The sequence below is a fragment of the Homo sapiens genome, chromosome 6 (genome assembly GCF_000001405.40).
Source record: "Homo sapiens chromosome 6, GRCh38.p14 Primary Assembly".
NCBI classification, from domain to species: domain Eukaryota; kingdom Metazoa; phylum Chordata; class Mammalia; order Primates; family Hominidae; genus Homo; species Homo sapiens.
The window spans coordinates 24,533,039-24,560,768 of record NC_000006.12 but is presented as its reverse complement, the minus strand read 5'-3'; the positions used below and the strand labels follow the sequence as shown (position 1 = coordinate 24,560,768).

Genomic DNA, 27,730 nt, shown 5'->3' with positions numbered 1-27,730 from the left:
GTTCTTCTAAGAAGAGGACAAGAGACATAGAGAGAGGCACACAGGAAGAACACCATGTAACGACCGAGGCAGGGACTGGAGAGATTCTTCCACAAGCCAAGGAATACCAAGGATTGCTGGCAGCACCAGAGCTAACAGAACACTTTGATTTTGGACTTCTGGCCTCCAGAACTGTGAGAAGAGGTTTCTGTTGTTTTAAGCCACTTCGTGGGACGTGTTTCACAGCAACCCTAGGGGATGAATACAGATTGGAGTAGCTATTTCTCCAAAGAAGATATACAGATGGCCAATAAGCACATGAAAAGGTGCTCACCATTAGCCACCAGGAAAATGCCAACCAAACCCATGTTGAAATATCACTTCACACCTGCTAGGATGGCTAGAATCCAAGACAGACCATAGCAAGTGCTGGCGAGCCTGTGGAGAAACTGGAACATTTATACATTGCTAGTGGGGATGTAAAATGGTACAGCCACTGTGGAATACAGTTTGGCAGTTCCTCAATATGCTAAGCATACAGCTACCATATAACCCATTAATTCCACTCCTAGGTATATACTCAATAAAAATGAAAAACTTATGTCTACACAGAAACTTGTATATGAATGTTCATAGCACAAATTCATAATAGCCAAAATGTGGAAGCAACTCAAGTGTCCACCAGCTGATGAGTGGATACAAAATGTGATATATTCATACAACAGAATATCATTTGGCAATAAAAAGGAATAAAGTATTGATGTGTGCTACAACATGGATGAACTTTGAAAACATGATGGTAAGTGAAAGAAGCCACACACAGAAGGTCTCATATTGTATGATTCCATCTATCTGAAGTGTCCAGAAGAGGCAAATCCATAGAGACCAAAAGCAGATTAGTGGTTGCCCGGGACTGTGGGGAGGAGGTGCTAATGAGTGTGGATTGTCTTTCTGGGGTGATGAAGATGTTTTGAAATTTGATAGTGGTGATGGTTGTGCAACTTTGTGAATATACTAAAAGCCATTCCATTTACACTTTAGAAGCGTGAATTTTATGATATGTAAGTTATATCTCAATCAAAAAAAGGTAAAAAGAAAGACATGTCTGCAAGTTATTTTGTGTATATTTGTCTTTTTGCACACATTTATACATTGCTCCTTTTTTTTTTTTTACTATTATGGATTTATTGCAAAGAATATATTAAAGGATACAAATGAACAGCCAGATGAAAAGGTACATAGGGCAAGATCTAGAAGGGTCCTGTGCATGGGAGCTTCCATCCCCATGGATGTAACACTTCATACATCCCAGCACATAGATGCATTCTTGTTCACTAACCTGATAGCTCTCCAGACCCATTTGGTTAGGATTTTCAAAAACTGATACATAATTTACACATTGCTTCTTTTATCTGAAGATCTGTCTGTCTTTGATCAGCTGTACGTTGAGACTGAAGAGGCTTTGTGAATAGAAACATCAATTCCTTGGCTCACAGATACGCCCCTGTCCTTGGCAAGCCACAGAGCTGTAGCCGTCTACCTCCCCAGTTTCACAGGTCAGATGCTGTGGTGGGCGTGTCATGGTAGTCACCATCTGACCATGTGGCTGTCCTCTCTCATTGTCTCCTCCACAGCACCGTGATTGTGTTTTATGTACAGAGCAGGCCGCCTTTCAAGGTTCTCAAAGCTGCTGAAGTGGCCCGAAATCTGCACATGCGGCTCTCAAAGGAGAAGGCTGACTTCTTGCTTTTCAAGGTCTTGAGGGTTGATACAGCAGGTAGGTCTCCTATGGAATATTCTAAAACAATCAGACTTGCCAATCATGGATAAGTTTGACAAACATAGAAGAGGAGTGACATGTGAACATTTTCACTTTAGCATCCAGGGACTTGTTTTACATTTATTTCTCCAATAGAGTTTCCTGCAGCATGCATTTGCCAACTACTCTTGGTCTTGGAAGAAAAATGGAAAACAATAATAATTATGGGCCTAAAGTTAAGATTATACTCACAAGATAATGGCTATTGGCAGAAAGAACAGTGTTAAAGACAAATAAGTGTTACTGGCTGCAAAAGCCATGTTTATATAATTTATTTACCTTGGACATCATGCCTTAGGTTGTGATGATAATGTCATGTAGCTCCTTGAAAATTTAAGACAGCTTGCAAATGCCTTCTCCAGGTGTGCCTCTTTTCTTAGCTCCATGCTCACCACCCCTTCCAGGGTACTCAAATGATTCATAGTCCCATTGTTTCTATCTTTATTTCATGAGTAACATGAATCTCTTGTTATGTTGAAGTGGTTATTTCAGTAGACTCCAGGGAAATGAGAGTTACAAGGGAAATGATAATGTTTGGGCAGTAAAATTTAATTTGTTTCAGATATCTATCTATCTATCTATCTATCTATCTATCTATCTATCTAGATATATATATATCCATCTACAATTGACTTTCTCAATTATAATATGGAGTAACTTAATTTTTAATAACTCCTTTTTTCTTTTCTTTTTTTTTGGTATTTTTAGTAGAGATGGCCTTAGCCATCATGGCTTAGTAGAGCCTTAGCCATGTTGGCCAGGCTGTTCTCAAACTCCTGGCCTCAAGTGATCCACCCACCTCAGCTTCCCAAAGTGCTGAGCCACCACGCCCAGCCAATAACTCCTTTTTTTTTCTAGCTACAAAAATAATATTTATTTATTGTACAAAATTTAGAATATCCAGAGAGGCACAAAGAGGAAAATAATTCTCTAAATTCTAGGTCCAAAATTCTCACCATCCAAAGAAAATTTTTATTAATACTCTGATATATGTTTTTCCAGTTCCACCATCTCTACAATCAGGATGACATGATATATATTTTTAATCTGATTTTTAACTTCAAATCATATTATGAGCCAGGAACAGTAGCACATGCCTGTAATCCCAGCTACTCCAGAGGCTGAGGAGGGAGGATGTCTTGAGGCTAGGAGTTTGAGACCAGCCACAGCAACATAGCAACAAGACCTTGTCTCTTAAAAAAAAAAAGTATATTATGATTATGTTCCCCAATCCTTTAAAATTTCTCTTCAATAAAATTTTTATGGCCACATAGTATTCTACCCTGGATATGCTCCATAATTATGCAACCAGTTTCTTATCCATGGGTTTTAGGGTTGGTTTTAAAGATAATGCTATAATGTAGATAAATCTTTGGGCATGTCCTCAATAATTGCCATTGCACTCCAGATAAATACTTAGAATTATTTTCTTAGGCCAGACAATGTTATGTTTTTGCTACTTTTTTGAGTCTAGCTCTGTCCCTCTGTTGCCCCGGCTGCAGTGCAGCGGTGTGATCTCGGCTCACTGCAACCTCTGCCTCCTGGGTTCAAGTGATTCTCGTGCCTCAGCCACCTGAGTAGCTGGCATTACAGGCGCACACCATCACGCCCAGCTAATTTATTGTATTTTTAGTAGAGGTGGGGTTTCGCTATATTGGCCAGGCTGGTCTCAAACTCCTGGCCTCAAGTGATCCACTCACCTTGGCTTCCCAAAGTGCCGGGATTACAGGCGTGAGCAACCGCACCCAGCCAGTAAACTTTTTTTTTGAGACAAAGTCTTGCTCTGTCACCAGGCTGGAGTGCAGTGGCGCGATCTCGGCTCACTGCAACCTCCAACTCCCTGGTTGAAGTGATTCTCCTGCTTCAGCCCCCTGAGTAGCTGGGACTACAGGCATGTGCCACCATGCCCAGCTAATTTTTGTATTTTTAGTAGAGATGGGGTTTCACCATGTTGGTCAGGATGGTCTGGATCTCCTGACCTTGTGATCTGCCCACCTCGGCCTCCCAATATTTTTAAGGCTTTTGCTGCGTGGTGTGGACTGGCTTTTTCTGCCATTTGCTTTCTGATGAGATTGTCAGTGATGAGAGACTATCTCCAGAACCCCTGTCCACACTGTAAGAGGCTCTTAATTCAACAAGATGCTTTTATTTGGGACCTATGCTACTGAAGATACAAAAGAAGCTGAATCCAGGGATTCCCTTTTCTGCATGCTGCCCTCAGCCCTACACACCTCTTTGCAGGTTGCCTTCTGAAGTGTTCTGGCCATGGTCACTGCGACCCCCTCACAAAGCGCTGCATTTGCTCTCACTTATGGATGGAGAACCTTATACAGCGTTATATCTGGGATGGAGAGAGCAACTGTGGTGAGTTCTGGTATAGAGGAGGCTTTGGGTGAGGAGCCTTAAGGCAGCTCATTCTCAGGTATCAGAAATATCTGCCTAATATTCGAGGCCAACCTGGGCAACATAGTGAGACTTCACCTTTACAAAAAAATAACAAAATAAGCCAGGCATGGTGATGCATGCCTGTAGTCTCTGCTACTCAGGAGGCTGAGGTGGGAGGATTGCTTGAGAGGAGGTCCAAACCAGCTTGGACAACATAGTATGACCCTTTCTTAAAAAATTAACTGAGTGTGGTTGCGTGTGCCTGTAGTCCCAGCTACTCAGGAGGATGAGCTGGGACAATTGCTTCAGCCCAGGAAGTTGAGTCTGCAGTGAGTGGACAGAGTGAGACCCTGTCTCAAAAAAAATGGAAGAAAGGAAGGAAGGAGGGGAGAGGAGGGCAGAGGAGGGGAGGGGAGGGAAGGGAGGGAAAGAGGGAAAGAAAAGAGAAAAGATAGAAAAAGAGAACTATCTGCCTAGCTCTGCAGTTATAAACATTCAGTGCTTTTCTCACCTGAAGCCAAGTGAACCAGCTCACTTGGTAGTAAGTTAAGACCCTTCTTACAATCTACTTTGTGGGATGTGTTTAGGCTTTTACATAAAACTTCCTAATGAGAAAATTCCCTTTGGCAGAGCAGAATTGGCTCACTATTGCTGGCATTTCTAAGAAAGAATTGCTTGGGCCACGGGCTGCATTTCCAGGTTACACCTGCCTTGGCTTAGGCTCAGTGTGATTTTCTGGTGAAGTGGCCCCTGGTATGGATCTTCTAGAATCAGGTAAAGAAGAGAATTTGGCCCACTCTTCCAGCTGTTCACACAGGCAGGCACCAAAAACTGGAGCCACAGCAGGGCAAGCTGGTGCCCCTTCTGGGGAGAAAACTATATTTTAATGGCAGTCTACTAAGTAAATTTGTTGTTTGGGGAACCAGATGGACATAATTGGCACCAAGGATAGTAAGAGCTGACTGCCAAAGTATATTCCCATTTAATACTATATAAAAATCAGAAAATAGCCAGCCCTTGGATCATTATTCCAATGAAATTATATAACATTTAATAAAGTTAAACCTTTTTTTTTTTTTTTTTTTTTTTGAGATGGAGTCTTGCTCTGTCACCCAGGCTGGAGTGCAATAGCGCAATCTCAGCTCACTGCAACCTCTGCCTCCTGGGTTCAAGCAATTCTCCTGCCTCAGCCTCCCAAGTAGCTGGTATTACAGGTGTGTGCCATCATGTCCAGCTAATTTTTGTATTTTTAGTAGACACAGGGTTTTGCCATGTTGGCCAGGCTGGTCTCAAACTCCTGACCTCAAGTCATCTGCCCCGTTCGGCCTCCCAGAGTGTTGGGATTACAGGCGTGAGCCACCGCACCCTGCCTAATAGAGTTAAACTTTGCTCCCTAGTAGATTTAAACTGGGCTTCTCTGTCTCTGAATTACTGTTGAAAGCTTTTCACGTTAGATTTCTGTAAGGATGTGGAAGGAATGAGGGTCAAGTAGTTTCTGAATTGCTCTCTGGCCGTGAAAAATGTCTTCATGCCATAAACAGCCATATAGATGCTTTATTAAAACCAAGCCAGAACTTTCAGGGGTAGGGGTTGTGATTTTTGGCATTCTGGAATGAATATTTTGATGTGGTATACATGTGTGTTTATATAAGAGGCATTACTATGTAATTGACTAATTTTAGTTATTTCAGATTATTCTGTTCCCAAGTTCGCATGAAATATGTGCTCCGTGAGGCCCTGAAACCCAATAGATAAAAACAGGGCAGTTTTAGTTTTACAGTTCTTGATTTATCTGTATTTTACCTTGCTCTGCTCTGCTACCAGTCTGATGTTATCAACTCCACAGGTGGCCTTTCCTTGTAGGGATTCAGAAATAGTTGTTATGAATCATCAAAATAAAGTTGTTCTACAAATAGCCTGTAACTATGTCCACTTTGGTTTTCTTGTGTTTCAGAGTGGAGTATATTCTATGTGACAGTGTTGGCTTTTACTCTTATTGTGCTAACAGGAGGTTTCACTTGGCTTTGCATCTGCTGCTGCAAAAGGTACCTAGAGTGCTTATTCCTGGGAAATAGAGACCCTACACTAAGTGTGTTTTGACAGCTTAGGAATTGTTTACTTGGACTTGTTAAACCACTAAGCTGTTTATTATAATAATGCACTTTCTGCCACAAAGCATAAGTGCCTAAATAAATGGAATATTAGAGGCAGCTTTTTCTCATTGCAGCTCTTGTGTTTTCTAGGAGGGTCAACGATTCTGTATCATATCTAATGTTATTCTCTATCAGTCTTACATTATATTCACTAGAGTGGTACTGTTTTCTCACTCAACCACAATCAATACAGAAGACTTCTGTGACCATTGTTTGGGAGTTTCTTCGCACACACCAGTCAAGCAACAGCTTTGCAGTGGACACCAGCTGGGTGTCCTCCAATTCACTTTTGCCGCTGTCTACCTGGAGATAGCGTCAGATCCCACAGGTTAAGGACTCAGTCCCCAAGACTGCTGCCCACCCCATTCAGATGCCAGTTGCATACCCCAGGTCGTTTTACCTGGGCTTCTGACTGACTCTAAATTGGGTCCCTCAATTCCCTCTTTGGGTTCAGTTATTTTGCTAGGGTGGCTCAAAGAACTCAAGGAAACACATTGGTTATTTATTACAAAGGATATTACAAGGGATACAGATGAAGAGATGCATAGGGTGAGATATGGGGAAGGGGCCTAGAGCTTCCATGCCCTCTCTGGGCATGCTACTCTCCAGGAACCTCCACATGTTTGGCTGTCCAGAAGCTCCCTGAACCCTGTCGTCTTGGGTCTTTTATGAAGACTTCATTGGATAGTTATAGAAAAGTAGTTGGACAAAAAGGGTATGATGTGATACTAACAGGCTGAGTGGGGAAGCCCAGCAAGGCCTGTCCAGATTCTTCTCAGCCTCTCTGTAAAGCACTCCATTCTCCTCGTAGGAGGCAGAACTCTTTCTGAAATGAGGGTTTTATGACCTATAATCAGACAAAGTAGGTCAGAGAATGTCTTTCTAGCCAGCTCCGAGACAGAAAGGCAGGGGAAGTTTCTTGCTTTGGGGAGAATAAAAAGCAGGTGAAAGAAGGCAGGAGAAGGTCAGAGAGAGAGAGGGAGATTCTGTTTTCTGAGGCCTAAAGTGCCCCAGCATTATAACAAGGGCCGTGGGAGTTATTAGCCAGGAACTGTGATGAAAACATACATACAGATATATATATATATATATGTGCGTGTGTGTGTGTGTGTGTGTGTGTGTGTGTGTGTGTGTGTGTATATATATATATATATATATCTATCTCACAAGTACCTAAGTGGCCTTACAGGTCTCAATAGAGGAAGGAGTTCTGGAAGTATACTGTTACAAATGGTAGGTTTTGATTATTTTCATTATGTAAAGCAATAATCGAATCCACCTGAATCATTTTTAATAAATTTGAAACTGTAAGCGAGGCAATAACACCGCCAAAGAGAACTTTTGCTTTAGGTGTTTCCTTTTTCCATGGAGCTGACCCCTGAGAAGCCTCAAGCTACCTCACTGGCCAAATCTTCCAGAACCCCATGCTCAACCCTCTGTCCTTAGAAGAGAGCATCAGGTCCACTCTTTCATGTGAAACATTGTAACTGCTCTCCAAAGGTGTGATTTTTAAAAAACGTATATTTTAATCTGGGCTAGGTGGCTCATGCCTGTAACCTCAGCACTTTGGGAGGCCAGGGTGGGTGGATCACTTGAGGTCAGGAGTTGGAGACCAGCCTGGCCAACATGGAGAAACCCCACCTCTACTGAAAATACAAAATTAGCTGGGCGTGGTGGTGCATGCCTGTAATCCCAGCTACTTGGGAGGCTGAGGCGGGAGAATCGCTTGAACCCGGGAGGAAGAGGTTGCAGTGAGCTGAGATTGCACCATTGCACTCCAGCCAGGGCAACAAAAGCAAAACTCCATCTCAAAAAAAAGGAGTGTATTTTAATAGTTATTTTTCAGAAATCACTTATAGATTATTTTGGTTTTATTTGTGATTACGTTCCCAAAGTAAGACTGGTGAAAGGGAGCCAGGTGCAGGCACTTAGAGGCCTAAATCCCGTTAAGTTTTCCCAGAGCCATATGTGACCCTACTGTGTATGGCATTAAACATCTGCAGCTTTGTGACATGTCTATCAAGTAGAAGATGATGATGCTAGTAGTGATAACTGTGAACATTTATGAAGTATTTGCCATTGTGATTAATGGCTAAGTGCTTTGTTTGTATTATCTTATTCAGTCCTCTCATCAACCATGTGAGAAAGGGACTATTCTTACTCCCATTTTACAGGTGAGGACATGGAGGCACAAAAGTCTCAATTAATTTTCTCTAAGTCACCAGCTAGCAAGTGCTAAATTGAGACCTATGCTTCTGATCATCATGCTCCCAGAATATTGCTTTTTTACTATGAAATTACTATTTTGTTCTCTGCGTGCCTTGGCATGGTTTGGATGTGTATTTTCAAATAGTCTCTGTACATAGGATGAGGCACATGGGACCAGCATAATTTTCATGTGTTGAGGAAAAAAAAAAAAGAAAAAGGTGGGGAGCAGCTGTTGCTAATTAATTGTGGGAATTTATTATAATTTTTGCTATTTTTTTCTGATTGCTAGTTCATGACACCTTTTCATTACTGCAGCATTGGACATAGCAGGGTGATACAGGTTCAGGGGAACATTTGCTCATCCAGGCTTTTCTGAATAAGGAATTACTCAGGAAGAAGAGCTCCCTGGGCCAACACACAAGTGTTGAGAATTGGCACTGCAGCCTGAGGCTTAGCTGAGACCTGTAGATAGGTGGGCAAGAGTGATGTGGCTGTTTATACCCAGAAATGTGTTTCTCCAAGATGCATAATGGCCCTCTGAGCTCTGACCTGGCCTTGTGTATGTTTCTTTAATAAAAGACGCCAACTATCACATCATAAAGGCAAAATGTTTCCTTTAGTGTCTTTACTGTGCGTTAAATCCTAGCTCTCAGTTACCTTTCTAAAGATCTGAGTTGAGCTTTTCATTGTTCCTTTCAGACAAAAAAGGACTAAAATCAGGAAAAAAACAAAGTACACCATCCTGGATAACATGGATGAACAGGAAAGAATGGAACTGAGGCCCAAATATGGTAAGACAGTCTGCAGAATGACTGCCTGGCACCTTTATATGATTTAACCTAGGTAGGCCTGAGGGCTAACTTGGATAGAGGGAGAACGATTTGCTGGAGTCAGCACTTTAATTGGGAAGGAAGAGTGAGGCTGGGATTCTGTGATGAAAAACAACCTTCAGGCCGGGCCCAGTGGCTCATGCCTGTAATCCTAGCACTTAGGCCAAGGCGCCTGAGCTCAGTAGTTCGAGACCACCCTGGGCAACATGGTGACACCATCTCTACTAAAAAATACAAAAAAAAAAAAAATTAGCCGGGCGTGGTGGTGTGCGCCTGTAGTCCCAGCTATTCGGGAGGCTGAGGCAGAAGAATAGCTTGAGACTGGGAGGTGGAGGTTGCAGTGAGCTGAGATCACACCTCTGCACTACAGCTTGGGCTACAGACTGAGACTCTGTCTCAAGAAAGAAAAAGAAAAATAACCTTCATCAATCCTGAGGATATGCTAATGCGGGGGTGGGGGCAGAAGGCAGTGGGTTCATTATAAATTTAATGAAATTTTGGTGTAATACTTTGAGGCATTAATGGATGAGGGATATGAAATGTTATCAGCTGGGCACCTACCAATGACCACAGGGCAAAGACTGCTTTTTAAACAGAGATGTCCCCAGCACCTGCTTTTTTTTCTACTCGCGGGTGGAGGGTGGGGGCAGTTGAAGACACTCCCACAGCTCAGCTCTGAACGCTGTTCCCTTTAGGTCTGCTAGGACAGAAATGCAGCAAGAGGACATTTGGACTTTAAAGCCTAACATTTTTCAGCAGCTGCGTTATCTAATTAGCCATTGATAAAGATGGACACAAAGGCTTTACAGAAAATTGACTTTCTTCACAAAGTGTATTGATCCCTATGCTTAGGAGCACCTGTTGCCCACCTCGGTTAACTTTTTCATTCTCGTTTATTAACTGTTGCATACTTAATGAAACTTCTCTGGCCCTCTGAGGCTGCTAAACACCGATTCTATAGATTTTCCATAATTCTGGGCTTATGACTAAGATAATTTTTATGGAAGATATAATCTTTTTCAGAGTTGTGAGGTGCAAAACATTGTTCACAGTGAGTGTTGAATGCCTACCTTGTGCACAGGCACCGGGTTAGGCCCTGGAGACTGGGAGAGGAGGAAGCACAGAGCCTGCCTTTACAGGAGCTCACAGCCTGAGGGAGGGTAATTATACTGGAGTGCAAGGAGTTCTATCAGTGCATGGACGATGCCGGGTAGGAACACTCAGGTCAGAATGACTGATCGTGTACAGAGAGTGTAGCTAATAGGGCTTTGGCAGGAAGAGCCTCACAGGAAGAACAAATAGTGGCATACATTGAGTGCTCACCATTTGCATTGCATAATATCAGAAGTATTATAGTGACGTTTACCTAAGAGCTCAACGTGCTTTAGGTTGCATTATCTCACCCATCTTTGTCTTAAAATACACTCATCCTTCTGACATTCCTGTTTCTATTCATAGAACCCCCATTCTCACTGCCCCAGTTTGAAACCTCAGTCGCTGGTGCTCCACACACACCGCCCCCCACTCCAGACACCCGCACTTGCTAGACTCTTGCCCTCTTTCCTCGTCATTACCATCACCACCCCAGTTCAGGTCCTTACAGTTTCACCCGTGAACTAATAGTAATAATAAACAGGTATTTAATGTTGAATATGTACTAGGTACATCTCAAGTACTTTACCCATTGAATTCTAATCCTGCCCATAGCGGTACGAGGTATGTGCAATGATTATCCCCATTTTACACATGAGGAAACTGAGGCAAAGGAAAGTTTAGCAACTTGCCCAAGTAACATAGCTGGTGAGTGCTGAAGGTGGGGTGGAGGCTGGGCTCTTCCTCTATGTTGCACTGCCTCTGCCTTGGTCTGTTTGGGCTGCTCTAACAAAATGCCACAGAAGAGGAGGCTTATGAACAACAGATATTTATTACCCACAGTTCTGGAGGCTGGGAAGGCAAATTCAACATCTGGGCAGGGCCGCTTCCTCATAGTTGGTGCCTCCTCACTGCATCCTCACATGGTGCAAAGGGCAAGGCAGCCTCTGGTGCCTCTTTTTTTTTTTTTTTTTTTGGAGACAGAGTCTTGCTCTATCCCCCAGACTGGAATGCAGTGGTGCAATCTCAGCTCACTGCAACCTCTGCCTCCCAGGTTCAAGCAATTCTCATGCCTTAGCCTCCCAAGTAGTTGGGATTACAGGCACCTGTCCACCATGCCCAGCTAATCTTTTTTGTATTTTTAGTAGAGACAGGGTTTCTCCATGTCAGCCAGGCTGGTCTCGAACTCCTGACGTCAAGTGATCCACCCGCCTCGGCCTCCCAAAGTGCTGAGATTACAGGTGTGGGCCACCACACCTGGCCTCTGGTGCCTCTTTTATGTGAGCACTAATCCCATTCGATCACCACCCAAATGCCCCACCTCTTAGTACCACCATTTAGGCATTAGATTTCAACACATGAATTTGTGGGGGTGCAAACATTCAGACCACAGCAACCTCTATGTCTACTGTCCGTCTTCCATCCTGCACACTGTGGTTTTATTAATGTCTCAGAACAACATTTTAATAGTGTCATTTCTCTGCTTTTAGGATAAAATCCAAACTTCATGGTTTACTTTGTATTCATGTGCTTTTCTGTGAGGTCCCTGCCTTTCTCCGGCCTCTCTCCTTCATTATTTCCTACATGAATCATTTGCTCCAAACAAACCAGTTTTTTTCTAAATATTCCCGGATGCTTCTGCATACTCCATGACCTTCCCCGTCCTCTTGTCTAAAATCTCTTCTTCAAATCTCACTGATAGAGACAGGAGACAGCCAAGAGTCCCTGGCGAAACCCCACCTCCAAGCCTAAAACAGCCTGAAGGCTGAAAAACTGGACTGCTGGTCCCCAGTGAAGGCCCTGCCCTTTCCCAGCTGATTCTCCCTAAGTAATGTCCACCTGCGCACTGGGGAAAGAGGATGGAGCCACAGGAAGTTCGTGTCATTTGCAGTGGGGAGGAGCCTGGCCTCTTCAGTTTCTGTGTGGTAACCTGGGATTCAATCTGTGAGGCAGGAGGTTGTTGGCAAGACCCCCTCTCTATTTGCTGAGAGTTTTTGTTTCCTTTTTGACCAATAAATTCCATTTTTCTCACCCCTCTATGTTTCCGTGAGCCTAATCTTTCCTGGTAGTGTGACAAGAGCCTGGTTTTAGCTGAACTAAGGAGAAAGTTCTGCAACATCACCCTATGGGAAACATTACTGAAGCAACCCCTGCCATAAGTATATGTGCTTATCTCCTAATTCATATACAATTTAAAAAACATCTAACCTGTTATGAGCCATCTTCTCATGAGTCTATGCCTTTTATGTCTTGTTTTTGTTTTTTTTCCCGAGACAGGGTCTTGCTCTGTCACCTGGGCTAGAGCATAGCAACACGATCATAGTTCACTGTACCCTCGAACTCCTGGCCTCAAGTGATCCTCCCACCTCAGCCTCCCAAAGGGCTGGGATTATAGGCGTGAGCCACCATGCCCAGCCAAGTCTATGTCTTAAACCCCTAGCTAGACACCATAAATCCTTTGAGAGTAGGAATTGAATCTTATACCTGTTCTGTATCTTAGGTTGACCCCCTGAAATCAAATATTCTACCAAAAATATTTTAACCAAATGGTAAAATCACAGAAGCTTTCGTTTGTTGGATGCTTACAATGTACTAAAGGCTGGGCCAAGAGAGCTTTACATGCACTATTTCACTTAATCCTCAGCATAAACTCATGGGGTAGATGCTTTGTTATCTTCCAGTTGAATAGAGGAGGAGACTGAAAGCTCAGAGAGGTTCGGTATCTTGCCCAGGCTCAAGCATCTGGCGAGTGTCAAAGCTGGGACAGAAGCTCGGGTGAGGCATCAAAGCCCCTGCAGTTACTTGCTAGGAAACCCAAACCGCCTGCTGTTTTGAGTGATTGCTTTCAAGGGGCGGAGAGCACCACTCCGTGCCCATCACAGGACCTGCAACCACAACGACTGACAGCTGGAAGTGAATCACGGCGTTCCTCCTCAGATGCTTCTGTGCTTCTCTCTAGGTATCAAGCACCGAAGCACAGAGCACAACTCCAGCCTGATGGTATCCGAGTCTGAGTTTGACAGTGACCAGGACACAATCTTCAGCCGAGAAAAGATGGAGAGAGGGAATCCAAAGGTTTCCATGAATGGTTCCATCAGAAATGGAGCTTCCTTCAGTTATTGCTCAAAGGACAGATAATGGCGCAGTTCATTGTAAAGTGGAAGGACCCCTTGAATCCAAGACCAGTCAGTGGGAGTTACAGCACAAAACCCACTCTTTTAGAATAGTTCATTGACCTTCTTCCCCAGTGGGTTAGATGTGTATCCCCACGTACTAAAAGACCGGTTTTTGAAGGCACAAAACAAAAACTTTGCTCTTTTAACTGAGATGCTTGTTAATAGAAATAAAGGCTGGGTAAAACTCTAAGGTATATACTTAAAAGAGTTTTGAGTTTTTGTAGCTGGCACAATCTCATATTAAAGATGAACAACGATTTCTATCTGTAGAACCTTAGAGAAGGTGAATGAAACAAGGTTTTAAAAAGGGATGATTTCTGTCTTAGCTGCTGTGATTGCCTCTAAGGAACAGCATTCTAAACACGGTTTCTCTTGTAGGACCTGCAGTCAGATGGCTGTGTATGTTAAAATAGCTTGTCTAAGAGGCACGGGCCATCTGTGGAGGTACGGAGTCTTGCATGTAGCAAGCTTTCTGTGCTGACGGCAACACTCGCACAGTGCCAAGCCCTCCTGGTTTTTAATTCTGTGCTATGTCAATGGCAGTTTTCATCTCTCTCAAGAAAGCAGCTGTTGGCCATTCAAGAGCTAAGGAAGAATCGTATTCTAAGGACTGAGGCAATAGAAAGGGGAGGAGGAGCTTAATGCCGTGCAGGTTGAAGGTAGCATTGTAACATTATCTTTTCTTTCTCTAAGAAAAACTACACTGACTCCTCTCGGTGTTGTTTAGCAGTATAGTTCTCTAATGTAAACGGATCCCCAGTTTACATTAAATGCAATAGAAGTGATTAATTCATTAAGCATTTATTATGTTCTGTAGGCTGTGCGTTTGGACTGCCATAGATAGGGATAACGACTCAGCAATTGTGTATATATTCCAAAACTCTGAAATACAGTCAGTCTTAACTTGGATGGCGTGGTTATGATACTCTGGTCCCCGACAGGTACTTTCCAAAATAACTTGACATAGATGTATTCACTTCATATGTTTAAAAATACATTTAAGTTTTTCTACCGAATAAATCTTATTTCAAACATGAAAGACAATTAAAACATTCCCACCCACAAAGCAGTACTCCCGAGCAATTAACTGGAGTTAATTGTAGCCTGCTACGTTGACTGGTTCAGGGTAGTTCCCCATCCACCCTTGGTCCTGAGGCTGGTGGCCTTGGTGGTGCCCTTGGCATTTTTTGTGGGAAGATTAGAATGAGAGATAGAACCAGTGTTGTGGTACCAAGTGTGAGCACACCTAAACAATATCCTGTTGCACAATGCTTTTTTAACACATGGGAAAACTAGGAATGCATTGCTGATGAAGAAGCAAGGTATTTAAACACCAGGGCAGGAGTGCCAGAGAAAATGTTTCCCCATGGGTTCTTAAAAAAAATTCAGCTTTTAGGTGCTTTTGTCATCTCCCGCAGTATTCATCCTCATGGGACCATCTTATTTTTACTTATTGTAATTTACTGGGGAAAGGCAGAACTAAAAAGTGTGTCATTTTATTTTTAAAATAATTGCTTTGCTTATGCCTACACTTTCTGTATAACTAGCCAATTCAATACTGTCTATAGTGTTAGAAGGAAAATGTGATTTTTTTTTTTAACCAGTATTGAGCTTCATAAGCCTAGAATCTGCCTTATCAGGTGACCAGGGTTATGGTTGTTTGCATGCAAATGTGAATTTCTGGCATAGGGGACAGCAGCCCAAATGTAAAGTCATCGGGCGTAATGAGGAAGAAGGGAGTGAACATTTACCGCTTTATGTACATAACATATGCAGTTTACATACTCATTTGATCCTTATAATCAACCTTGAAGAGGAGATACTATCATTCTTATGTTGCAGATAGCCCTCTGAAGGCCCAGAGAGGTTAAATAACTTCCCAGAGGTCATGGCCAAGAAGTAGTGGCTCCAAGAACTGAATGCAAATTTTTTAAACTGTAGAGTTCTGCTTTCCACTAAACAAAGAACTCCTGCCTTGATGGATGGAGGGCAAATTCTGGTGGAACTTTTGGGCCACCTGAAAGTTCTATTCCCAGGACTAAGAGGAATTTCTTTTAATGGATCCAGAGAGCCAAGGTCAGAGGGAGAGATGGCCTGCATAGTCTCCTGTGGATCACACCCGGGCCACCCCTCCCTCTAGGTTTACAGTGGACTTCTTCTGCCCCTCCTCCTTTTCTGTCCTTGGCCATCTCAGCCTGGCCTCTCTGATCCTTCCATCACAGAAGGATCTTGAATCTCTGGGAAATCAAACATCACAGTAGTGATCAGAAAGTGAGTCCTGTCTTGTCACCCCATTTCTCATCAGAACAAAGCACGAGATGGAATGACCAACCAGCATTCTTCATGGTGGACTGCTTATCATTGAGGATCTTTGGGAGATAAAGCACGCTAAGAGCTCTGGACAGAGAAAAACAGGCCCTAGAATATGGGAGTGGGTGTTTGTAGGGCTCACAGGCTAACAAGCACTTTAGTTGCTGGTTTACATTCAATGAAGGAGGATTCATACCCATGGCATTACAAGGCTAAGCATGTGTATGACTAAGGAACTATCTGAAAAACATGCAGCAAGGTAAGAAAATGTACCACTCAACAAGCCAGTGATGCCACCTTTTGTGCGCGGGGAGGAGAGTGACTACCATTGTTTTTTGTGTGACAAAGCTATCATGGACTATTTTAATCTTGGTTTTATTGCTTAAAATATATTATTTTTCCCTATGTGTTGACAAGGTATTTCTAATATCACACTATTAAATATATGCACTAATCTAAATAAAGGTGTCTGTATTTTCTGTAATGCTTATTTTTAGGGGGAAATTTGTTTTCTTTATGCTTCAGGGTAGAGGGATTTCCCTTGAGTATAGGTCAGCAAACTGTGGCCTACAGCCTGTGTGTGCACGCCCCATGAGCCGAAAAGTGGGTCTTATGTTTTCAAATGGTTAAAAATAAATAAAAAAATTTGAAACATGTGAACTATATGACATTCAGATTTGTGTTCATAAATAAAGTTTTATTGGAACATATCCACATTCACTGATTTATGTATTATCTATGGCTGTTCTTATGTTACAACAAAGTTGAGGAGTTTTGACAGGGACTGTCTGCAAAGCCTAAACTATTTACTATCTGGCCTTTTACAGAAAGAAAAAAATTTGCAGAAGGCTGGACTAACATCCCCTGCTCCTTCCCTGTGGGAAGACAAGTGTTCCGGAAGAACTGAGCATGCTCAGTCAGCTCGCCTTCCTCTGTGTGGGTGGTTCTCTGCAATTAACAGGCAGTCTGTCCCTCGTGCCAGAAGGCCCACAGCATGGTAGGGTGATTAGATTCTGGAGAGAGTATACTTACACTGCATCCTCTAATCTAGCTCTTATCAGTAATAAAGCCATTTTTAAAATGAGGGCCGGGCATGGTAGCTCATGCCTGTAATCCCAGCACTTTGGAAGGCCAAGGCAGGTGGATCACTTGAGTCCAGGAGTTCGAGACCAGCCTAGGCAACATGGCCAAATCCTGTCTCAAAAAACACACACACAAAAATTTAGCTGGTCATTGTGATGCATGCCTGTAGTCCCAGCTACTCAGGAGGCTGAGGTGGGAGGATTGCTTCTGCCCTGGGGGTGGAGGTTGCAGTGAGCAGAGACTGGGCCACTCCAGCCTAGGCCACAGAAGGAGGCCATCTCAGAAAAAAAGAAAAAAAAATGCAGATTGAGGTATAATTCACTTACAGTAAACTGCACATAATACAATTTGATGCTTTGATATGTGTGCACATCTGTGAAACCATGACCACAATCAAGCTGTTGAACAAACATAATTACCCATAAAAGTTTCCTCGTGGCTCTTTGTAATCCCCCTCTCCCCTGGCAATCACTAGAGATTAGCTTGAATTTTCTGGAGTTTCATATATGGTAGTACTGTATGGAGCTTTCCCCTCAAACAGGTAGTAGTTCCTTCCTTTCCAGGCTGTTTTAACTCACTCCATTAGCAACTGTGAACAGAAGTTCTCTGAAAAGGAATTTGAAGGAAAGAGACTTTATTGCCGTGAACAGTTTCCAAACCACAGAGTTATGGTCTTCTGTGTAAAACAAAGATGGGTTTCAAAAAACAAAGCAAGCGTTCTGGATTTATAGCAAAATTCTACCCAGGTTTCCAATCAGGTCCATATGTAAATGAAGGATTGAAACTTGCATAGTTCTGATTGGTCAGTGTAGCTCAGTTTGGGTTGGTTGATACAGATGACGCCTGGTTGGTTGATACATCTGAGTCCTGATTGGTTAAGGCAGGTGAGCTCTGATTGACTGGTTCAGGTGAACTCTGGAGTTCCCAAACTGAACAAAGGTGTGGGTTTTGGGGGGAACTCAGTACATGTGTGTGACATCTAGTTAACAAATGCTCACTTAGGTGTTTTTTGTTTGTTTGAGACAGGGTCTTGCTCTGTCACTCAGGCTGGAGTGCAGTGGCACCATCACGGCTCACTGCAGTGTGGACCTCCCAGGCTCAAGTGATCCTCCCACCTCTCAGCTTCCTGAGTAGGTGGGACTACAGGTGTGGACTAATTTTTTGTAGAGATGGGGGAGTCTCACTATGCTCTCCAGGCTGGTCTCAAAAATTCCTGGCTCAAGTGATCCACCTCCCTCTGCCTCCCAAAGTGCTGGGATTACTGATGTGAGCTACAGTGCCAGGTCCCACTTAGGTCTATTTTAAATTTAGGCCTAGTTAACCAATGGGGATTTATCTTAAAGGATTGGCTCTTTCAAGTTCATATTTGTTCACATAATTTTGTTGAGATAAATGCTTGTTGAAGTATGAGAATGGGAATGGGGTATTGTAGTTAAACTAATTACGTGGCTCCTGGATCATCTTCAATCCTGTAAGAGTTGTGTATTTACTGAGAGAGCAAATACTAGGCTAAGTAAAGGAACAAAATCTTTATAATTTCAACAAGGATGACTTTCCATTACTGAAACTAAAGGAATTTTTATTTTATTTTTTTTCAGACAGTCTTGCTCTGTTGCTCAGGCTGGAGCGCAGTGGTGCAATCTCGCTTACTACAACCTCTGCCTCCTGGCAGTTCAAGTGATTCTTGTGCCTCAGCCTCCTGAGTAGCTGGGATTACAGATGTGTGTTACCACACTCAGCTACTTTTTATATTTTTAGTAGCGACGGAGTTTCGCCATGTTGGCAAGGCTAGTCTCGAACTCCTGGCCTCAAATGACCCGCCCGCCTCAGCCTCCCAAAGTACTGGGACTACAGGCATGGGCCACCATGACCAGCCAGAAAATAAAGGCATTTAAAAAAATATTCCTTCAGTGTTGTGGGCTAAATTATTATTTTTGAGATGGAGTCTCACTCTGTCACCCAGGCTGGAGTGCAGTGGCATGATCTTGGCTCACTGCAACCTCTTCCTCCCCAGTTCAAGCGATTCTCCTGCCTCAGCCTCCCAGGTAGCTAGGATTACAGGCGCCCACCACCATGACGGGCTAATTTTTGTATTTTTAGTAGAAATGGAGTTTCGCCATGTTGGCCAGGCCGGTCTCAAACTGCTGACCTCAAATGATCCACCAGCCTCGGCCTACCAAAGTGCTGGGATTACTGGCGTGAGCCACTGCGCCCAGCTGACTAAATTAATCGTGTTATGTCAAAATTCATAGGTTGAAGCTCTAACCCCCAGTACCTGAAATGTATTTGGAGATAGAGCCTTTAAAGAGATGTGATTAATTAAGTTAAAATGAGTAAAATGAGGCCATTAAGATGGGTCCTAATCCAATCGACTGGTTTTCTTATTAGAAGAAGAGATTAGGACCTGCAGAGAGACATCTGGGGCACGCAGGCACAGAGGAAAGATCATGGGAGGACATGGCAAGAAGGCGGCCATCTACAAGCCAAGATGAGAGGCGTCAGGAGAAACCAAACCTGCCGACACCTTGATCTCGGTCTTCTGAGAATTCATTGAGCGATTCACTTATTCAATTATGTATCCTTTTTTTTTGCATGTATATAATAGTGAAAGGAAAGTTTAAAAAAGCTACCAATCTTGCCAAGTTACTTTCAAAGTCATTTATGAAGAGGTACTGCCAGGGATTTCCTAGGTAGAGATGAAACAGTTCTGTATCTTGATTCAGGTGCTGCCTACACAAATCTAACTATTGATGTGATCAAATTAGGTAGAGGTGTACAAACACTCACATACAAATGAGTGCACATAAAAACGAGTGAAATTGGAATAAGGCCTGGATTAACAGTTTTGCACTGGTATCAGTTTCCTGGTTTTGATAATTGTATTACATAGGTAATAAGCGAACCACTGGGTGAAGGGTACACGGGACTCTGCATTATCTTTGCAACTTCCTATGAATTTATAATTATTTCAAAATTAAAAGTTTAAAGATGTTGAGAAGGAAAGGCCAGATCCACATATCAACAGTAAAATAAGCATTTCCATTAAAATCAGGAACAAAGTTAAGAAAGGAAAAAAAAAAAAAGAAACAAAGTCACCATTTCTCCAACTAATTGGTCCCTAGAGCCTCTCTTGTTGAGTTGAGATTAGCAAGCAGCAAAGCTTCCTTTATTTGAAGCCTACATGGAGAGTATTATCACCTCCATTCTCCTAAAGATGATGAACCCAGAGTTGCAGGACTGAGACTTTATTGCAGCAGGAAGAGAGCACATAGGCTTATACGGTCATGCCTGGCATAGTGAAATTTCTGTCAGTGATGGACTGCATATATGATTTATGGACCCATGAGATAATGGAGCTGAAAAGTTCCTGTCACCTAGTGATGTCGTAGCCATCATAAAGTCCAATGCAGCCCAATGCATTAATCATGTTTGTGGTGATGCTGGTGTAAACAAACCTGCATTCTCAGTTGTATAAGAGTATAGCACATACAATTATGTACAGTATATAATAAGTGACTATGCTACTGGTTTACGTATTTATTATACTGTACTTTTCATTGTTATTTTACAGTGTACTCCTTCTACTTATTAAAAACAGTTTATTGTAAAACAGTATGTGGCTGGGTGCAGTAGCCCACTCCTGTAACCCCAGCACTTTGGGAGGCTGAGGCTGGAGGATTGCTTGAGCCCAGGAGTTTGAGACCAGCCTGGACAACATGGTGAGACTCCATCTCTATAAAAAACATGTTTAAAAGTTAGCTGGGTGTGGTGGCGAATGCCTGTAGTCTCAGCTACTCAGGAGGCTGGGGTAGGAGGATCTCTTGAGCCCAGGAGGTCAAGGCTGCAGTGAGCTGTGATGGTGCCGGTGCACTCCAGCCTAAATTACAGAGTGAGACCCTGTCTCAAAAACAAAACAAAACAAAACAAAAGAAATACTGGGTTATACCAGCAGTATAAACGTGTCTTGTTTACTGTGCCTCTTGATTGCATTATTTTCTCTTGTGCTTCAATTAATCTCGTGTTGCTTTGTTCATCACGGTCCCTTTGTCATAGAAAATCCACGGCTATTGTTGCCAGTAAGAGGCCACATCAAGTGACTGATCTTGAAACAAGAGATTAAGGATTACCAACCAATGGGTAAAGGAGTTACAGCAGCTTTTAAGGCCCACTGCCTGAGGAGGAGCAGCTTTGCTCAGGTTATTACTGCAACAAAGGAAGACACGGAGAAGACGCTGATGCAATTCTGAAAGGATTACATCTACGACTCCATCAGGACCCTTGCTTGGGCTTGGGGTGATGTTACCAAGGAACGTATAAATGACATCTGGAAGAAGACACTCAAGAGGTTCATCCGTGATTTCAAAGGATTTGCCAAGGACAAGGAGGTTGCAAAAACCAACAAGGCTGTGGTTGAGATGGCAAACAATTTTAACCTGGGGGTGGAAGAAGAAGACATTGAGGAGCTCCTACAGGTGGTTCCTGAGGAACTGACTAATGAGGAGTTGTTGGAACTGGAACAGGAACACATACCTCAAGAAGAGGCAAGGAAGAAAAAACTGCAGAAGAAAAAGAATCCCCATGAAAATTCACAGTGAAGAGCTGAGAAGTTTTTGCAGACCTCAGTAAGCGCCTTAAAAATTCTGAAAACATGGGCCCCTCAACACCAAAAGGGTTTCATTAACAGAGAGGAATGTTCTTTATGCACTGTCTGCTTACAAGCAAATCTATGATGAAAAAGGAAAGCAAGCAAACCACCATGGACATATTTCTGATGCATGACATCTCCTAAGAACCTCAGGTAGGTCTTGTTATCCTAGCTCCACGTTTTTTTCTTTTTTGAGTCAGGGTCTCACCTTGTCACCCAGGCTGGAGTACAGTGGTGCGGTCACGGCTCACTGCAGCCTTGACTTCCCGGGTTCAAGCGATCCTCCTGCCTCAGCCTCCTGAGTAGCTGGGACGACAGGCACGTGCCACCACACCTGGCTAATTTTTGTATTTTTTGTAGAGACAGGGTTTCGCCGTGTTGCCCAGGCTGGTCTTAAATTCCTGGGCTCAAGCGATCCGCCTGCCCTGGACTCCTGAAGTGCTAGGATTACAGGCGTGAGCCACTGGGCCCAGCTGTCCCTGCGTGTTATTGCCCCTGAAGACCTTCCAGCGGGGCAAGATGAGGAGGTGGGAGATAGAAATATCCATGAATCTGACCCTTTGTAGGCCTAGGCTAATGTGTGTAATTGTGTCTTAGTTTTTAACAAAAAAGTTTAAAAAAATTTAAAATATAAAAAAGCTTGTGGAACAAGGATATAAAAAAAGAATATATTTTTATACAGTTGTGCAATTAGTTTGTGCTTTAAGTGCTAAGTGTGATCACAAAAGAGTCAAAAAGTTAAAAAATTTTAAAAATTTATAAAGTAAAAAGTTACAGTAAGCTAAGGGTAATTTATTATTGAAGAAAGAAAAATATTATTTAATAAATGTAGTGTAGCCTAAGTGTAGAGTGTTTGTAAAGTCTAGAGTAGTGTGCAGTCATACCTTAGGCCTTCACATTCACTGTCACTCACTGACTCACCCAGAGCAACTTCCAGTTCTGCAAGCTCCATTCACGGTAAGTGCCTTTTACAAGTGTAATTTTTAAATCTTTTATACTTGATTTTTACTGTACCTTTTCTATGTTTATATACATAAATACTTGCCATTGTCTTACAACTGCCTACAGTATTTAGTACAGTAGCATGCTGTGCAGGTTTGTAGCCCTAGGAGCAATAGGCTAGACCGTATAGCCTAGCTGTGTAGGAGGCTGTACCATCCAGGTTTGTGTAAGTACTCTACAGTGTTCGTACAAGGACGAAACTGCCTAATGACGCATTTCTCAGAATATATCTCTGTTGTCGAGCAATACGTGATTGTAAAATGTGAGACGACATTTGCAAAAATGTCCACTAACCACTGGGCAGCAGTGCTGTCTGTGTTCTAAATTATGGTGAGGGCTGGCTACAATGGTGCACTCCCATAATCCCAGCACTTTGGGAGGCTGAGGCGGGAGGGTGGCTTGAACCCAGGAGTTTGAGACCAGTCTGGGCAACACAGTGAGACCCTGACTGTTCAAAAAATGAAAGAAAAATTAACTGAGTGTGGTAGCAGGTGCCTGTGGTCCCAGCTACTCAGGAGGCAGAGGTGAGAGGCTTGTTTGAGCCCAGGAAGTCATAACAGTGGGGCGTGTAGGAGAGAGAGATAGGCCAATCTGTGACGGCTGGCCTATACACCTTTCTGTGACCGCCACCTCTGCAAACCAGGTAAATTCTCAGTTCAGCTTAGCAAACATTCTATAAGCGCACACCATGGACAGGCCCTTCTCTGGGTTTTAGGGCACATCATTTCACATGCTGGCTCCTTCCCCAAGGCACTCACTGATTACGGCTCTCTGGGGGAGGGAGTGCTATTTACACAAATGCAAACTGGTCTAATATCATCCAATAAAAACTCAAAAGATCACCAAGTAGGGGGAAAAAAGCACAACCAGACACCTTAATACAGGGAGAGGAAATTCTGTTAATTCCACGTTTATTAATCACACAGCTCTCTGCAGACTAGACACTAAAACACACAATTGTCAAAAACTAGAAAAATGAGTTATGTCCACGTTTTAAAAGCAAAACTTTATAAATTTCTTACCACACTCATTCCCAAGTTTTATCCCACAAAGTATAGCATGAAACAATGACAACATACATATTATTCAAGTAAAATGCTATTTAAAATAGCTGCACACAGGTAATTAAAACACTAGGATCCAGTTTTTAGAGGAAAAAGTCATGTGGCACAATTTCAAGTTCATAATTGAAGTTAACAGTAAAACAGATTTGCTCACATTTGCTTCTGATCTTTATTTCTGCTGTCTCTCTTTAGTAGAATAAAGAAATGGCACTTCACATAAAATCATATTTAAAAGCTACTAAAATGGATAAACAGATGCAGATCAGCTCTTTAATGAGAATCCCTGCATAGCTGGAGGAAGTTCAAGGATAATTGTTTTTTCAAGGCAAATAGACTCTTGTTACGTGGCTAATTTCATGTACATTATCATCGCTGGGAAGTTCCTGCTGAGAACTCACGGTAGCTATGCCAGAAAAGTACTTTCTTCACAGGAGGTGTTGAAATAATGCCGGATAAATGCAAGTAAGGTCAATATCTCCCTCTTGGTCTAGATCAGGAGCTGGCAAACTTTTTCTTTAAGGAGACAAGTAGTAAATCTTTTAGGCTTTGCAGGCTATACTGTCCCTGTCCCAACTATTCAACTCTGCCAAGAAAGCAGTCCCAGACAATACCATAAATGAATGGGTGTGGCTATGCTCTAATAACATTTTGTTTATGGACACTGAAATCTGAATTTCATAGAATTTTCAGGTGTCATGAAATATTGTTCTTCTTTTGATTTTCTGCCCAATCATTTGAAAACATATAAACCATTCTTAGCTCACAGGTTGTATAAAAACAGGTGGCAGGCCAGGTTTGATTCGTGGGCCATAGTTTGCCAACCCCTGATCTAATGGTCCTTTTCTAGTCCATGTTGTAAAATGTATATATTTTTAAAATCCCGTTACATATGGCTACTTTATTTAAAAAACAACAAAAACGTTCAGTTAAAAATAATTCTCTTTCTTCCCACAACCAAGGGCCATTTTACTAAACAATAAGCTATTTCCTTTAATTAGAAAATTGATCAAGGATATACAATGAGTCTCTGGCCTCAATTTATGAACCCATGAGCCAAATATGCAAGAAGACTCAAAATTTGCCACCCAGCCAAAGAATCTACTGGCTTACAATGTTAAAAATTTATTTGGAAGTATTCCTGCACACATCTCAGCATCGGTAATCCAGAGTTATAAAAAATAATGTTGGAGCATTTGTATTCTTTTTTTGAGGCGGAGTCTCGCTCTGTCATCCAGGCTGGAGTGCAGTGGCGTGATCTCTGCTCACTGCAAGCTCCGCCTCCTGGGTTCACGCCATTCTCCTGCCTCAGCCTCCAGAGTAGCTGGGACTACAGGCACCTGCCACCACATCCGACTAATTTTTTTTGTATTTTTAGTAGAGACGGGGTTTCACCGTGTTAGCCAGGATGGTCTCGATCTCCTGATGTCGTGATCTGCCTGCCTTGGCCTCCCAAGGTGTTGGGATTACAGGCGTGAGCCACTGTGCCCAGCCCAGCATTTGTATTCTTAATAGAAAAAGGATGGATACATCTAAATCACAAGTAATTAAAATGTTATATAAAACCACCTAAAAACTACACAAATAAAGAGAAGACATTAACTGTCAAAATGCTGAGTATGTGATTCTTGACAGGGCCGGGGCACTGTCACTAGGAGATGAATTTCAGCTCTTCCTTCTCCTTGGGACCTTGGGAATGTGGCTAGTACACTCCAGGCCAGATGCTAGGCAGCTCCCTGTGTGCCCAGGGTCTTGCCAGACCTTTAGTTACTCAACCATAGCTTCCCAGTGGCTCAATGAGGGATGTTAAATCCTAGGTGGGGTTCAGGAGTAATTGCATCCAGCACTACTTTCATTCACATTTTCCTTCCACAACCCAGAATAACCACAAGATGTAAGTGGAGTCTACACAGACAGAGATGGGGAAAGGAAGGTGCTTCGTCTCCACCTACTTGGCCGCCTAATTGGATTTGCATCTGTTTAAGATTACGGAGTCTTTCTTTCAAAGTGAGAGGCAACGCCGGTCATAGCGGCTTTTGTTTTTTGTGCGTTATTTGAATGATGAGCTGTAAAAACTCTCATTAGATAAAAGGTGCCTGAAATTCAAGGGCTCATGCCTCTTCTACAAAGTGGGTTGGCAATTACAGAAATTCTTTCCCTTTTGGGTTGACTGTGGTGAAAGTACTTTTGCTCTTTTGGAGGTGAGGGAGCAGCACCACACCAGGACAGAAAGAACAGGCTCAGGTGACAGCCACTTACTCAGGCTCAGGTCGGTGGGCAAGTGGGCACTGGCCTCCTCCCATCTTGGCAAAGCCACTGACAGTAGGCAAGGAAGGGCTGGGCGGTGCTGCTCGTAACAATGGCTCTTGTATGTCCTTAGAATTTTCATTTTTTTGTGAAGTGCTTTTACTTTCTCTCTGGCTCACAGTATCGCAAGGAGCTAAGTAAGGCCTGTATGGAATCTCCACTGTATCCATGGGATGGGAGGTGCTGAACACACGCCCAAGGCAACAAGGCCACTCAGGGAAGGAGCCAGGCCATGCCACTGCGTGCCTTCCATCCTACCAAGCTGCTTCTGCTATTCTTTGCTTTACACTTCAGCTCATTTACTCAAGGAAATGAAATGAAGTGGCAAACAGGACAGAAATGAAAATAGAATTCTTTAAGTGGTAAATTTGGGACAATAAAGGCATCAATTAAAATATGGTTCAGGAATAGGGAGAGGTGCTCCTTCGTGCCTCACAGAAGCACGGACAATTCTGTGCTATTTATTGTCTTTGAAAGAGGGTTCACTCAAACCTCTGCCGCAACACCTCCAGATGCACATTCGGTGTCTTCTGTGCTGAGCTGGCAGATGCCGGGGAGGGGTGCTGTGCCCCTCACCTGCCTGCCAGTCACAGTCAAGGGTCTCCTTCAAGGTGCTCTGGGCCCATGTTCTGTAGCGACATGGGGGATGGTTGTGCCACTGCCCAGGCAGTGATCAAGCCTTTGTGACGGCCCATGGGGCTGGGCCTGCCTTGTGCTGTGCCTGCTCTGAGGCAGCTGGGGCTGTGGTGGGGAGCCAGGGCCTCATTCTGTAAACCCAGTGCTGGTTCTCTGGGAGTCTGCAGCCACAGGCACGTGGCACATATTGGTCCCTAGTTACATTAAGGGCAGGGGTAGGATTTGCATCTGTTTAAGATTACAAGGACTGGATGAGTTCTGAAAAATTCATAATTCTGAAAACCTATTAGTTTATTTAAAATAATGGATGGCATGTACCTATATATGTAGATAAGTCTCCTTTTAAATTTTTTTAAAGAACCAAAGAATCCTACAAGCCCCCGTAACACACATACTTGAGTTCCAGATACTCATCAATGCCATACTTGGACCCCTCTCGCCCAAGGCCGGACTGCTTCACTCCACCAAAAGGGCACTCCACAGAGGAAATTAATCCTTCGTTGACGCCAACCATGCCCACTTCCAGCTGCTCTGCCACTCTCCAGATCTGGGCTGGGTCTTGAGAGTAAAAATAACCTGTCACAGGATAAAAGGACATATATGGCATTTAGAAGAGTCATTAAAGACATCATGCCTAAAGATGAGGGCACCATTGATGACTTTTTGTCCAGCCACTTGGGCCTGGAGTCTTCCCTGCTCCCAGATAAAGTCCCAGGTTGGTCTTGTCCACTTTTTCATCTCAAAACCTTTGAAAGTCACCTCTTGCTTCAATTCTACTCTCACTATCTCCTATCGAGACCCTCTTCCTGTTTTCTACTATTCAATCCACCTGCACACCTGTTAGATTTCCACACGACATTTTTGCCCAAGCCTTTCGATGACTCCTGATTATAAAATAAGGTTAAATTCATTAGTGGGTATTCAACACCCTCTCCCCCACAAGTAGTTTCAATCAACATTTCTGGCTTCATCTTCCATTACTCCAATCACCAACCATCCTCTCCAAACCTGTCAGCCAAATTCTCCTCACCCTTTCTTACTTTG

The 27,730-nt window shown here is 43.0% G+C and overlaps 2 protein-coding genes and 1 long non-coding RNA gene across 25 annotated transcripts in view, besides 2 other annotated features; 2 read left to right on the top strand and 1 right to left on the bottom strand.

The window, feature by feature from the left end:
• KIAA0319 overlaps positions 1-20,628 on the top strand; it is a 106,051-nt gene extending 85,423 nt beyond the window's left edge. For 14 of the 21 annotated variants that reach the window (NM_001350406.2, NM_001350409.2, XM_047419603.1 and 11 more), the window contains 5 exons: positions 1,614-1,756; positions 4,040-4,162; positions 6,138-6,228; positions 9,244-9,335; positions 13,426-16,662. In NM_001350406.2, coding sequence (NP_001337335.1) covers positions 1,614-1,756; positions 4,040-4,162; positions 6,138-6,228; positions 9,244-9,335; positions 13,426-13,604 — 628 coding nt within the window. In that variant the 3' untranslated portion in view covers positions 13,605-16,662. Of the gene's footprint in view, positions 1-1,613; positions 1,757-4,039; positions 4,163-6,137; positions 6,229-9,243; positions 9,336-13,425; positions 16,663-19,423 lie in introns of those variants that run through there. The other 7 variants (NM_001350407.2, NM_001350408.2, XM_047419602.1 and 4 more) reach the window with 6 other exon arrangements.
• Positions 13,016-13,538: an enhancer, noted in NCBI's record as "NANOG hESC enhancer chr6:24547459-24547981 (GRCh37/hg19 assembly coordinates)". NCBI's record gives its function as "activates a minimal SCP1, AML or CMV promoter by ChIP-STARR-seq in naive H9 embryonic stem cells {active_cell/tissue: H9 hESC(naive)}" and the evidence as "EXISTENCE:reporter gene assay evidence [ECO:0000049][PMID:30033119]".
• LOC124901277 (uncharacterized) lies at positions 20,717-25,354 on the top strand. The gene is made up of 2 exons (XR_007059507.1): positions 20,717-20,754; positions 21,089-25,354. It is a non-coding gene; the product is annotated as an uncharacterized LOC124901277 (long non-coding RNA).
• Positions 21,003-22,202: an enhancer, noted in NCBI's record as "BRD4-independent group 4 enhancer chr6:24538795-24539994 (GRCh37/hg19 assembly coordinates)". NCBI's record gives its function as "activates an origin of replication core promoter dependent on BRD2, P300/CBP, MED14 and CDK7 cofactors, and independent of BRD4, by STARR-seq in HCT116 cells {active_cell/tissue: HCT116}" and the evidence as "EXISTENCE:reporter gene assay evidence [ECO:0000049][PMID:35650434]".
• The window catches only part of ALDH5A1 (aldehyde dehydrogenase 5 family member A1), a 42,239-nt gene continuing 38,070 nt past the window's right edge, over positions 23,562-27,730 (bottom strand). For all 3 annotated transcript variants that reach the window (NM_170740.1, NM_001080.3, NM_001368954.1), the window contains one exon: positions 23,562-27,262. In NM_170740.1, coding sequence (NP_733936.1) covers positions 27,057-27,262 — 206 coding nt within the window. In that variant the 3' untranslated portion in view covers positions 23,562-27,056. The remainder of the gene's footprint in view (positions 27,263-27,730) is intronic.